The sequence below is a fragment of the Homo sapiens genome, chromosome 9 (genome assembly GCF_000001405.40).
Source record: "Homo sapiens chromosome 9, GRCh38.p14 Primary Assembly".
NCBI lineage: Eukaryota > Metazoa > Chordata > Mammalia > Primates > Hominidae > Homo > Homo sapiens.
In genome coordinates, this window is record NC_000009.12 from 39,911,154 (window position 1) to 39,925,201 (window position 14,048).

Sequence of the window (14,048 nt, forward strand, 5' to 3'; positions counted from 1 at the left end):
TTTAAAAGTTTGGTAAACGGACACATTACTTGAGAGAAAAGAGGTTACAAAATTCACTTAAAAATAAAGAGACACCATGAATAATCCTGCATCTATTAAATACATTAAATCTATAATTTGAAACTCACATACAAAATAATTCCAGGTCAGGAAGGTTTCACTCTTGTATTCTCACAATCTTTAAAGAATAAATAGTAACAATTCTATGCAAAGTCTTTCAGAAATAAAAGAGGAAGCAACCCTAACAGTACATTATATGAGGTACAGATTACCCTTAAAGGAAAAAAATAGGTAGAGATTAACAGAAAACTACAGATCTACATTTTGATTTAAAAAATTTGTATAGGATTATTTTATTAAAAGTAGAAAAGCATTTGATGACATTTCACACATATTCATAATAAAGACTTACAGAAAAGTAGGCAAGAGAAACAAATTATTTCAAAAGTAATAAACATATATAAAAATAGTTAATATAGTGAAATACCAAATGGTTCCTCCTACTATAAGAAAGAATGCAAAAATATCCACTATGAACCATTCTGTTTGATACTTAGAAAACTGCAATACAGTGCTGAGAGACATTAAGGCAGACCTAAATAAATGGACAGATAAACCAAGTTCAATAATTTGAATGCTTTATAGTGTTAAGAAGGTAGTTCTACTAAATTGATTTCTAGATTAATTGCAATATCAGTCCAAATCTCAGCAGGCTTTTTATATAAATAACAAATATTTTTTCAAAATTACTATGTAATGTTATAAAATATTATAAATTAATATTGAAAATATTTTACATGAAAGTTCAAATTTCTGGACCCTTTTAAGGTAAGAGGATGGCAGTGTTTCTATGGTATAAACACTAAGTATATAAAAACTGAAGACTTCTATTAATATCAGACAAAATGGGCCACAAATCAAGAAATATTTTTAGCAGGATAAAGATCAATATAATTGGTCCAATTCATCAAGAGAACCTGATAATGCAAAATGTTTTTTCACACATTAACAAACAATTATGCATTTAAAATATTCAAGACAAAAACTTACAGAATTGAGAAGAAAAATATACAAATCCACAATATATTTAAAGATTTGAAAACTATTTTCTGATATTATTAAACAAGTAAATAAAAAATTTTAAAGAAAATATCTACAAATTCAATGACATTATAACCTAACAAGTTCTAGGATGCATGGAATATTATATTCATCACCAGCAAAAACTTATTTTATTTTCCAAGTGCACTGACATTCATCACATGTTAGGTAACAAATAATAAAGTTTCAACAAATTTAACAGGATTAGATCATGGAGAGTATGTTCTCTGACCCAATAGAATTAAATTTAAAATAAAAAACAAAACCAAAACTACAATGAAATCCCCAAATATTTAGATATAATAAACTTCTAATGATGCCTTGTAGCAAATAGTAAATCAAAAGATAAATTAGAAAGTATTTTGGTCTGGATAAAAATAAAAACACTACAACTTCAGGATTCCTTTGGAGAAATACGAAGTTTTTAATGTTTGTATTAGAAAAAGGAGAAATGTCTAAAATTAATGACACAAATGTCTACCTGAAAAAGTGAAAAGAAAACCAAATTAAACAAGAAGTAGAAAGTAAAATATAGAGAAAAACTAAAATTTTATAAAGACATAACAGAAATACAAAAGGAAAAGATGAAATTTAAAACGGATTCTTTGATAAAAGGAATAAACTGAATTAAATTCTAGATAGTCTGAGAAAGATACAAAGACAGAAATCTGTCAGCAAGCACTTTCAGGAAATAAAGTGGGCAAGGTTGGGAAGATGGTGGGTGTTGTAAAGATACTACAAATATCTAAATGATAATAACTTAAATTATAAAAACTTTATGCCAATAAATTTGATAATGGTTGAATAAATTGTATGGTTAGCAAAATAATCTTTACAATTACTCTAGAATAAATAAAATTTCTTCATATCTTTAGATTTATTAAAGATACTGAATTTTAATTTAATACCTTCTTAGGGGAAACAAATTCCAGACTCAGGTGCCTTCACTGTTAAATTTCATTCTTTTTAAATAGGTAAATGTTACAGTGATTATTACTCAAGTGTATATCCTGAGAATTTTTACAATAATTTGTTACATAGATTAACTTTTTTTTCTTCAAAATACAACTAATTTACTGATTATACTTTTTGGGTCTTCTATTAACATTATTAGCAAAATTTAGAAAATTTATTCATTTATATACAAAATTAATAGATACATTAAATACTCTGTGCCACCCAATGCCCAATTCACTGAGAGCATTTTACTGAATAAACAAAAAATTTTGACCCTTGATTACCTTATTGTTGGAGGTAACAAACCATAGAAGATAGACAATAGTCAATGTAAAAATAAATAAGTGGTTTTGACAATGGACAATAAGCAAAAATACCTGTTCACTTGTTGTATTGGTCCGTTCTCACACTGCTATAAAGAGCTGCTAGATGCTGGTTAATATATAAAGGAAAGAGGCTTAATTGACTCAGAATTCTGCAGGTCTGGGGAAGCCTCAGAAAACTTACAATCATGCCAGAAGGGGAAGCAAACCATGTCCTTCTGCACATTGTGGCAGGAAGGAAAAGTGCAGAGTGAAGGGGGTAAAAGCTTTTTATAAAACCACCAAATCTCATGAGAACTCACTCACTATCACGAGAACAACATGGGAGAACCACCCCATGATCTAATCACCTCCCGGAGATCCCTCCCCCAACACATGGGGATTATAAATCTGATTATAATTCAAGATGAGATTTTGTGTGGGAATGGAGCCAAATTATATCACTAGAATAGATAATATATATAATACATAAGTAAATTTTATAGTATACTAGCAGATGGTTAATTCTACTAACAAATACAGAAAGGTAAAGGATGAAAGGGATCTCTTGCTTAAGAAAGGGATACACATTTATATGTGTTGATTTTAAGGAATCAACAAGGAATGATTAGCAAGACTTGAAGAGAAAGGAGAAGCCATGTGAGTCTCTGGGGTGGAATGTTACAGGCAAAGATAAAAGCCAGGAAAAAGCAGACACTTCCTATATTCCTGTATTCATCCATTTTTATGCTACTGATAAAGATATACCCCAGCCTGGGAAATTTACAAAAGAAAGAGGTTTAATGGACTTATGTTTCCACATGGCTGGGAAAACCTCACAATCATGGCAGATGGCCAGGAAGAGCAAGTCACATCTTACATGGATGGCGGCAGGCAAAGAGAGAGCTTGTTCAGAAAAACTCCCTCTTCTTTAACCATAAGATCTTGTGGGACTTATTCACTATCATGAGGATGGGATGGCCTGCCACCATGATTCAATTATCTCCCACCTGGTCCCTCCCACAACACATGGGAATTCAAGATGAGATGTGGGTGGGGACAAAGCCATACCATATCACCATCTCTGTGCAAATGCTCTCTCTCTTCTATTTACCTCTGCAATTCTAGCTAAATTTTCCTTTCTAAGCCCCAATCTTCAATTTCTCAATATACAGGGAGAGTTATCCTTTCTTTGGATTATCCTTTCACTGTGTTTTCTGGAAACTGAGAGAAAGCTTGGGATAAGTCAGATTTTATTTTTTCTTTTGTCAGGGATCAGCATCCTCAGCTTCTTGTCAATGGTTAAAAAATCACTGTTGATTATATTTTGTCTGCAGTTAGTTTTTATTTGTGTGTGTGTGTTTTTGTTTTTTGTTTGTTTGTTTTGTAAAGAATTTAGTTTAGTTCCTCTTACTGTATCATGGTGAAGTACAGCTATCTTCAACCTATTTTTTCTGACCAATCTTTGTCTTTATATTGATTTAACATTACTTTTTAAATTTAGTCTTAAAATTCTTACTTTAAATAGTAGTTTTAGACTACTTATATTTAATATTGTTATCTATATTTTGGCCTTAAATCTACTATCATAAAATTTATTTTCCATAAAATTTAATCTGTTCTTTATTACTATTTTCCACTTTTGATGCTTTATCTTGGATTAAGTGTTTAATTTTGAATTTTATTTTATTTCAATTAATAAGATTATTAGTCATATGTTTTTGTTTATTTTGTCCTGTTAGGTGCTCTAAGGTTTATACTATGTACCTTAACTTTCCAATAACATTAAGGTGACTGAATATTTTTGCCCTGATACCTAGAAAAAGACAAGCATGCTTGCTCTGATAAATTCTTTTGAAGCTTATACTACACGTCTTAGCAATGCATTGAGAGAGGTAAGAATACATACAATTTAGAAAGAAAAATGTCTTTCTTCACAGATATTATTATATTCTGTGCAGAAAATAAAAAAGATATTTGCAAAAAAGTTAGTAAAATTGTGTGTTTATCTAGATCACAGGATATAATAATAATATACAGAAATCCATTATATTTTGATAGATTTGCAATGACCATTCATAATCTGAGATTTAAAAAAAAAAACAAGGAAAATAAGGGAGTGCTCAAATGCTAAGGAAGGCATGTTAAAAGAGCTGAGAAACTTGAATAGTTCCTACTAGCAAAAATAGCAAAACTGAATCAATAAAATAAGTAAAGGAACAGATCATGGGCCACTGAAAGAAATAGGAATCCATGGGTCCACGTGAGATAAACCCATGAATTAATGAATGAATAAAAGAAGGAAACACTATTATTTTCCCACAGAGTGCCAACCAATAAAAGGAAAAGGGTTGATATTGTATGTTAAAAAATTATCATTTGAAAATCTTCACATTGTAATTTGATTGAGTGTTGAGGCATCAATGGATGCTAAACCTAGTGGGTAAATGTTGGAGAAGAAATGTATCTCTCCACAAAACACTTAATTTTAGATTAATTACATGTATATATACATGTATACAATAGATAGTCTATATATAAAATATCATTTCATGTCATGTTATATTAATATAAAGAAAATGAGGAGTACCTCTGCAATAGAGAAATCTGGAAGACATTACCTTTCAAATGATCAAAATTAAAATCACCACTGATGGGAAAAATTAATTTCATATATAACCTGAAGAAATATGATAAGAAGAGCATAGCACCATGTTGGTGATTTTATTGCCAATAATGCATGTCTTGACACCTCATTATGAGAAAACACCAGACAAATCGAAATTGGGAGACATTCTAAAAATAGAATCCATTGGAATATTACCTTCAAAAAATGTTTAGGATGCTATGAAGGGTGAAGAAGGACTATGGAATGCTTCTGATTTAAAGAAGTTAAAGAGACATAGAAACCAGGAACAACACATTATCCTGAAGTGGATTGTTTTTTATAAAAAGCATCAGGGCAGTTTGTGAACTAGAATGGGTCCTCTCTTGGTGATTGTTACATGACAGCTGTTTGCATCACCTTAGCAACTTAAAGATAAATTGTTTAAAGATAAATTGGCGTCGTTTCATACAAACATTAAAGAAAATGGTAATGTCCAACAGAGTGCCCACCTAATTACTGTTCCAGGGGTCCTCAGAGGCTGTTTTCCTACTGTCTTCTTGATTTTTAAAATATATTTTAGTTGATTGGTTTTATTCATGCCATAATTGGTGGAAATTAATCCTTGATTCTATAAATTTTTACCTAGTCCGTTTCCAATGTTTTTTGTTTGTTTGTTTCTCTTTCCTTACTTATTTATTTATGCTTTTCTTTTACTTTTTTTGTAAAGTGGAATAAGTTAGGAATGAGTATATTATGACCAACTAAACTGAGTAGTTTTATGTCAAGTTGCAAATTATGTTAAGTATCAAATATTTGATTTTTTTAGATTTCAAAATAGTCACGTTTTCAGAAAAAATCATTAGTAGTTTTCTAAAAATAAAATCCTCTTGATTCAACAAAACATACTTGATGTGGTTTTTCCTCCCAAAACAGGCTCCTCCTTGAGTTATTGGGAATAAGTAATGCTTCTCAATAAAGCTTCGTGTCAACAAATCTGAACATATAACATCTCAGCTAGAGCAAGTTACTAAAAATAGGCTCAATTTGTAGCTTGCAGTCATGCCTTCATAACCACTTTTCAATTAATCCTGCTTAATTCAGAGAATGTATAAATATGTAATTTTGCATGACTTTTAAGGCAGCCATTTTATTTTGAAACGCAACTAACGTTATATGCATAAATTCAATAAATATAAAGCTGTTTTCAAAAATTGAATGTTTTTACTTGTAAGTTATTCTTTCAATAATAATAAAGAGATGATCACTAGTCAGTTTATTTTTCATAGTTGAATTGATTTAGTTGAACTTCATTGGGTGTTCTTATGTTTTAGTCATGAGTCCATGCTCTTTAACAAGCTAAAGGAAACCATATTATATGCTAAAAGATGTCAGTTTGTGAACAATTTAATGAATATATAGAGTTACAACATTTTTCCCGATTGGATGTTGGGGTTTACTATAATTCTTTGTTACTTTATATGTGAATATACTCACTACTCACTATGTTTATGTATGTAGGAAACATGCTAGTGATGAAAATTCAAGCAGTTATTACCCTAGTTTTCTTTCATTAACAAAATACAGAATAGAAATTATCTACTTATTCTTGGAGGTCTTAAAATATCTTTTCAGTTGACTGATAATTCTGCTATCAAGAGCTACAAGTAGGTGCTCTGGCCGTCTATATCTGTATTTCCATATATTCAATTCCTTACTATATATTTCTCATTTGATATTCTATACCCAATTCAAACAAAACCATTTCATGTATACAATGTACTTTTATTTATGCTTTTCTCTATCATTAAGTAGAAAGCCATTTGCACCTTAGTCTAAATCTGAAATGTGCCTCTACCTAACCTTTCTAATACATTTTCACTATTTCTTAGTTATTAGAATAAATTTACATAATTTCTGAAACAACTTTCTCTATGGAGTATTCCCTTTAGTTTCTTTTCCCTTCCAAACAATTTAATGAATTACAAATATGGGGGAGATATTTTTTCAATGGGTAAGACTTGACTTCTACAAATACATGTTTAATTCCTTCTCAAAATTATTTCTACTTCCTCTTATTCAACACTGTGCTAGATTTTAGGGATATATAATAAGACAATATATGAGGTCCTTGCTGTTGTGAAAGGTACATTCTTATCTTTGGCAAATTGTAGAATCTTTAGCTTTGGTATGCAAGGGCATTGGTGTTTGGTACATGCTTGGCTCTTTGCCTTAAGAATTGCCTCTTTCCACCATGCATATTTCACCTGTGTGGGAATTCTTGCAGATCTCTGTATTATTGATAGTCATTTTGCTCTGACATTTTATACAAAGCTGAATCAGCAACAGTATGACTAAACACAACCAAAAAAGAAAGCTAGAAAGATTATATTAGACACTTACGTGTATGGATCATTATGGTGAGGACTGCTAAAAAAAACAAAACAAAACAAAAAAAACCTTCAGCCAAAATAGATTTACAGTTTAATCGAGTAATGAATGATTCATAAATTGGAAAGCCCCCACAATCACAGCAGATTCAGAGAGACTCCAGGGGTGTCTCATGGTCAGAATGAATTTATAGACAATACAAAGTAAAGTGACCCATAGAAATCAGAAGTGAGGTACAGAAACAGCTGGATTGGTTATGGCTTGGCACTTGCCTTATTTGAACACTCAGCTGTATGCGACTAGTTGAAGTATGGCTGCTGGAATTGGCCAAGACTCAGCGATTGTTACAGGCGCATATTCCTAAGTTAGGTTTTAGTCTTGTGTACCTATTGAGTTAGGTTGCAGTTCATTCACAAGGACTGAAATATAGAAGTATGGCGTTTTTCTCAGGCCATATTTAATTTGATTTAACAGGACTTTGGGTATGTCATTGTATTTTACTAATATATTTTACAAACACCCCATGTTATCTTAATCTATTTAAGTTCACACTTTTTAATCAAATTTTACTTTAAATGTATCTAACCTCCTAAATTTCTGCCTTTGTGAACCAATAATACTTTTTCCAAATTCTTATTATAGCATATATCAGACTATATAGCTATAGACACTTTGGCATCATTGTTTTCCCATACAAAACACAATACATTTAATGAATTAATGAATGATGCATCAGCAAAGAAGGTTTTACTGAAAGTAAGAAAAATTATAAGCCAGTTTGGGTTTCCCAAGAATCAGACACCAAGATGGAATTACACGTATAAGAGAGTAACCAGAGAAAACGCCTTTGAAGAATAAAGAGAAGATAGAGCAAGAGGCTGCAAGAGCCTCCAGATCATGATGCAAGCCGGCACCTCAAAAGAAGAGAGAGCATGAAAGATAATTGGAAAGGAGGAGCCTCAGAGAAGAGTGCAGATCTGAGAAATTGTCAGCCACACTGAAAGAGCACCAAAGTGAACTTTGACCTTTAGATGAGTCCATGTGGGACAAGAATGAAAAGCCCTATAATATCTTCCTTGCTCAGCATTGGCAGGGAGCAACCTAAGGAGAGCATGGCACCTGCATGTAAGCCAAAAATAAAATTCAATGTCCGTTAACCAACTAAATGGGCCCTTTATCTTGGCCAAGGGCATTTTAAACTAAACCTGAAACAGTAATGGCCATGATGGAAATGGGTGGTTGAACATGCTTCGTTATTTACTTTCATCCTTTCGGAATTCATGCATAGCTGAACAGTGTTAACATTAAAGTAGAGACTTAAGAATGACAAAACAGACTCTTCGTAGCAATAAGATATCAACATGACAGATAGCAGGCCTTGAAAGAAATCAAAGTATTTCACCACAAAAATACATTTCTTTGACATATTTTGAAATGGCCCTACAAGGCTGTTTCTGTGGGGAAAATCTCCATTTTGTAGAGAATCCCCTTCTCTTTCCAAGTCTTTTTCCTGATTTTTCCTGATTCCAAGTCCTTTTTCCTTTTTATGTCTGATAAAAATCATTTACAATCTATTCTCAGTGAAGCCTGCTACCTGCAAGCTTCATCTGCATAAGAACCTTGGTCTCTAAAACACCTTATCTTAACCCATACACTCCTGTCTATTGATTCCGGTCTTTAGATAAATTATTTTAGCCAGTTGTCAAATGCCAATCAGAAAATCTTCGAATTCACCTTTAACATGGAAGCCTTCACCCACCCCACCCCCACCTGCTTTGAGTTGTCTCACCTTTCCCAATTTTACCAATGTGTATCTTAGGTGTACTGATTGATGTCTTATGTCTCCCTCACATGTATAAATCCAAGCTGTAGCCCAACAACCTTGGCACATGTTCTTAGGATCTCCTGGGCTGTGTGACAGGCCGAGGTCACTCATATTTGCCTCAGAATAAATCTCTTCAAATATTTCACAGAGTTTGACTCTTTTCTTCAACATGCATTACCACTGTAGTAGCTCTGAAGTGGTTGAGTTGGAGGTAACCCACCAACAACCCTCCTCATGGAAATTTCTCTTGAATGAAAATATGGGAGGAGTAAATTCTTCACTGCCAAATACTATTTCAAATTCTTTCAAGCATAAGGTAAATTCATTATTTAACATAAAAGTCAATCAAGAGGTAAAAAGAGGTCACAGTTTGCTTACGTATTTTCTGGCACTTCTTTGCTATTGGCTGTGTCACTTTTACCCTTAACATTTCTGCAAAAATGTCTGCAGACATTTAGGGTCATCATATTCAGATACAACCTTACCCAGAAGACCAAGAAAGAGACACCAAGAGAAACATTTATCTTAAAAACTCTTAAGGTAATTTGCCCTGATTTGCCTTTGTACTGAATTGGGCCATATGCGTATTTTTGTTCTTATTTTTGGCAAAGAATCAGGCTATACTTAGAGTAATCACATCATACCTGAATCTGAAGACGAGACAGTAAACTTAGAGAAGTACTGAAGCCTTGGAAGCCTTGGATATATTGAATATGTTCTATTTTAGAAAGAAAAGGTGAGATAATGTATGCTGGCAGTCAACCAACAGCATATGCTCCTAATGAACAACTGGAGAGTCATTTAAGTTCAATGTTGGGGATTTTATTAGAAACTGTAAGATGAACACACAATTCATTTTCTCTTTCCTTGTAAATTTGGACAATATTTGCTATATTCGCCTATATTTTGGCATAGAAATTTAGGTTCTAAGTATATAGTAGTGATGTAGCCTTCTTACAGGGTCACATAGACCCAGAATTAATAATTTTTAACACTCTTTTTATTCTCTCTGGTTGGCTAACATTAAAACAATCCACAGAAAACCCCCAAGAGCTATGTATTGAGGATGGCAAAACCACAGATGGGAAAATAATAAATCTTTGAATGACCCTGCAGGAAATCACAGATAGCATTCCTATTATTTAAGCAAGCAATAACTTTTATTGTTTTAAGAGTTGGAGGTTTAATTTTTTCAGCATTACTGTTACCACAATTATTACAGGAAATGAAACCAGTAAAAAAAAAATAGAGGGAACAAGGTTTATTGACATCTATGAGGCATTTTCTTTCCCCTAATATTACATACTCTAGATTTTATTTCTGCACAAAAAATATTCTCTATGTCTAGCCTAAAGAACTATGTCTTATTCATATTTATACTCTTCATAGATCAAAAGTGTGCTTAAAATACTGTACATTTAATGAGTTATTTTTGAATGTAAGCAACTTTGAATTCATCTTTGCATTTTTAATCTTATGTTTCTATTAAATGTATTATTAAATTCTACTAACACTTTCCTCAAAATAATTCTCAATATTTTGGTTTTTAATTTTTTACTGCCTTTGCATTCTCCTGGCAGAGACCCATTTCACCTCTCCTATAGATTATTTCATAAAGATTTTATCGTCTGTATCATATATATTTACAATATTAAAAGTTATCTGTAGCACGCTCTCATTGTTGCTTATAGATTAGGTTTGCTTCTCTATGTACTACTCTGGTAGGCAGTGGTTAAATATACTGCTTTAAGCCTTTTCACAGTACCTTCTATAATATCATCATGCACAATTTTAGGCACACAGCAGAAAATCAATGAAACATATTTAATTGACTAAAAATTGAAAAACATTGGTATATATGTAGGACAGATACTGATATTTTTATAAGCCCAACTCTGAAATGGTGATGCATAAAAAGTTGATAATTCCTTTTAGCAGAAACTATTAATAGTCATTTTTCAACATAATGCAAAATATATTTGAGATTGATAAATATTTTAGAACTCAAGTGCAAGAAAGCCATTAAGGGAATCCCACAATTTTTGTTGTTTCTAAAACCTAATATAATTTAAGATTATGAACAGCCTTCTTTCTCAGAAGAAAAACATATCACCAACCCACCACATTAAAAAAATGCATTATTCCAATCAATCTTGTTAATATACCATAGAAATTGAATTTTTTAAAAAAATTCAGAACTTTAAAAATAAATACTAACCATAATAGCTCAATTAAAATTATATCTATATTCTTGGAGGTTTTCAAATGCCATATCTAAAAACAGGATATAGTAAGGTATATCCAGGGATAAACTAGCTGTTAAAAAATAATTGATTGAGACCTGTTATTATTGGCTAAGTAAACTTCTCTTACCTTCCAAAACATGTTCCATTATTTCATAAGATCTAGAAATGATATCAAGTTTGAAATTTGTTGAAATGTTTTCCTATTGACCTACTTATAAATGGGTTATTTACATATTCAGCGTAATTACTTGTGCTTAAAACTGTTTTCAAGATAAATTTGAACTATGTCATTGTTCATATAAAAGAAAGATGCTTCTTTTCAATTAATTTGTATTAGTTAATAATTCTACAAATTGTGTTTATTTCAATGGAGATTAAAGAATATAAAAAGAATAATGTTTCTGTTTTAGACTATACTTTATTAGTAAACCATTTGGGGGGTGGGGCAATGAGGATAAACTCCATCAAAGGAACATAAGTTAGAAAAGCTGTAACATAAACTTAGGTTATAAGTCTGAATTACCCTAGACAGTTAGTCTATGGAATATGAGACTGTATGCAGCCTCAGCTGGAAGCACTGCCCTTAAGCAAAGACCATGAAAGAGATGCTGAAATAATTATTCAGGCAGAAATTTAGTATAATATTTCTTTGGGAATGTTCTCCAATAGTTGGAAGTCAAAATAACAAGTAATTCTCACTTCCATTCTTTGTCTTCTCAATATACATCCCTATATCTTGCAAGGCATTTAGCAAATTAAAGTACATTTACCAGCCTCTTTGCACTTTGATGAGTCAATGTAACTAATTTTTGGACGATAACGTGTGAACAGAAGCAATATTTGCAGCATCTAAAAGAAATGTGTGTGACCTTTTACCCCTGTTACCATGCTTTAGAATTCATAGCTGTTTTCAGCTATTTTGTATATAAAATAAGCATATAAAAGCGACAAAATAAATCAACATCGTAGAGCTATCGTGACATCACTGGACTTCTCCTAAAACTTTTACATGAAAAATATGTGAATTATTTCAAGCTGCTCTACTTGTTTTTCATAGACTCTGTCATTAATTAATTTTTTATGTACCACTAAAAAGCATTTTAAAATGCCTCTAAACTATGGCACACTGCTAAATATTTTCTAGATGCCTCAAAAAAGTTTTTATATGCAGTAATTTTGTTTTACATACACATGCACACTTAACTGATTTCAAGTTTTTTCAACTTTCATATGAAATTGAAAGTTAAAAAGGCACATGAAATGTCTTTTTGAAATTCCTAACTCAATTTAATTTTTTTTTACATTTAGGTTTACCATACTGTTTTAACAAAATGCTCCGTATTTATTCTAATATTTTTAAAACTTTAGGAATAAATTAATATTTTGGATTGTTCTACAGTATTGTATCCTGAACTGGAACTTTTATTACTGATTTATTAATTGAAATATGAAATATGATATGCACATGTGAAAGACACAGATCTTGAGCATATAGCATTAAACATTTTTAGAACGTAAAATACTAATGTCATCACAACCTACATGAATATGAATTGAGTATTACTAGAATCCAGGAGTCTCTATAGTGAACCTCCAATCATTACTATAGGCAACCACTGTTCTTACTTTTATCTTTATAAATTACATTTGCTTGACATTGAACTTCATAGAAATTGAACCATACAATAGATATTAATTTCAATCTGGTTCAAAAAAACACAACCAACAGCGTGGGTGTCAGTGTGATATTCTGTGCTGCTTCTCAGCTGAATCAATGGTGCTGACAGCTGCAATAGCAACAGCAGTGTCTTCAGAAGTTTTACTGAGAGTTTGGAGTCCAGAGTTTCTGCCTAATGGCAGCTGCGCTCAAATAGGGCCAATGGTCAGTCTGGAATCATGGGACCCAGAATGCACCACCTTCCCCTACTCATTTTTCACAGTTAAGGATGGAAGTGGCTTCCTTCATTTGCTCATCATCTGGAGTAGCAGGCCCCTTTTGCTCTTTCAGTGTTTCTAACATTGTTGTAACCACGCCCCCAACCCCTGTATTATATTGTCTATGCTTTAAAAACTATATTGTGGACTTGAATAAAATTTATTTTCCCATTCCCGGTAAAAAATAATTGGGTCATTCTTTACTCATGTATCAATTCAAATTTCTAAGACTCTATTTATCTCTTCTCCTCAATAATGTTTCTTTTTTCTTTTGCTTTTTTTTAGACAGGGTCTTGTGCTCTCACCCAGGCTGGAGTGCAGTGGCTGGAACACAGCTCACTACAGCCTTGACCTCTTGAATTCAAGTGATCCTCACACTTCAGCCTCCAGAGTAGCTTTGATGACAGGTGTGTGCCACCAGGCCCAGCTACTTTTCTTTACTTTTTGTAGAGACATGGTCTTGCCATATTACCCAGGCTAGTCTCAGATCCCTGGGCTCAAGTATCCTCCTGCCTCCAACTCCCAAAGTGCTGGGATTATAGGCATAAGCCACCATGCCCAGCTAATGTTTTCTATTTACCATAGCTTTTCACATATATATGTTATTATATATGTAATATACATATATAATATAGTATGGATGTGTATATACTATATTATTAACAATTAGATCTAAAATATAGAAA

General features: G+C 32.0%; 1 long non-coding RNA gene across 7 annotated transcripts in view; it reads left to right on the forward strand.

Moving 5' to 3' along the window:
- The window catches only part of LOC105376050 (uncharacterized), a 108,520-nt gene that overhangs the window by 15,568 nt on the left and 78,904 nt on the right, over window positions 1–14,048 (forward strand). The window contains exon 1 of one of the 7 annotated variants that reach the window (XR_001746436.2): window positions 13,547–13,769. The exons of the other annotated variants lie outside the window; for them this stretch is intronic. This is a non-coding gene — a long non-coding RNA (uncharacterized LOC105376050). Of the gene's footprint in view, window positions 1–13,546; window positions 13,770–14,048 lie in introns of those variants that run through there. 7 annotated transcript variants of the gene reach the window in all.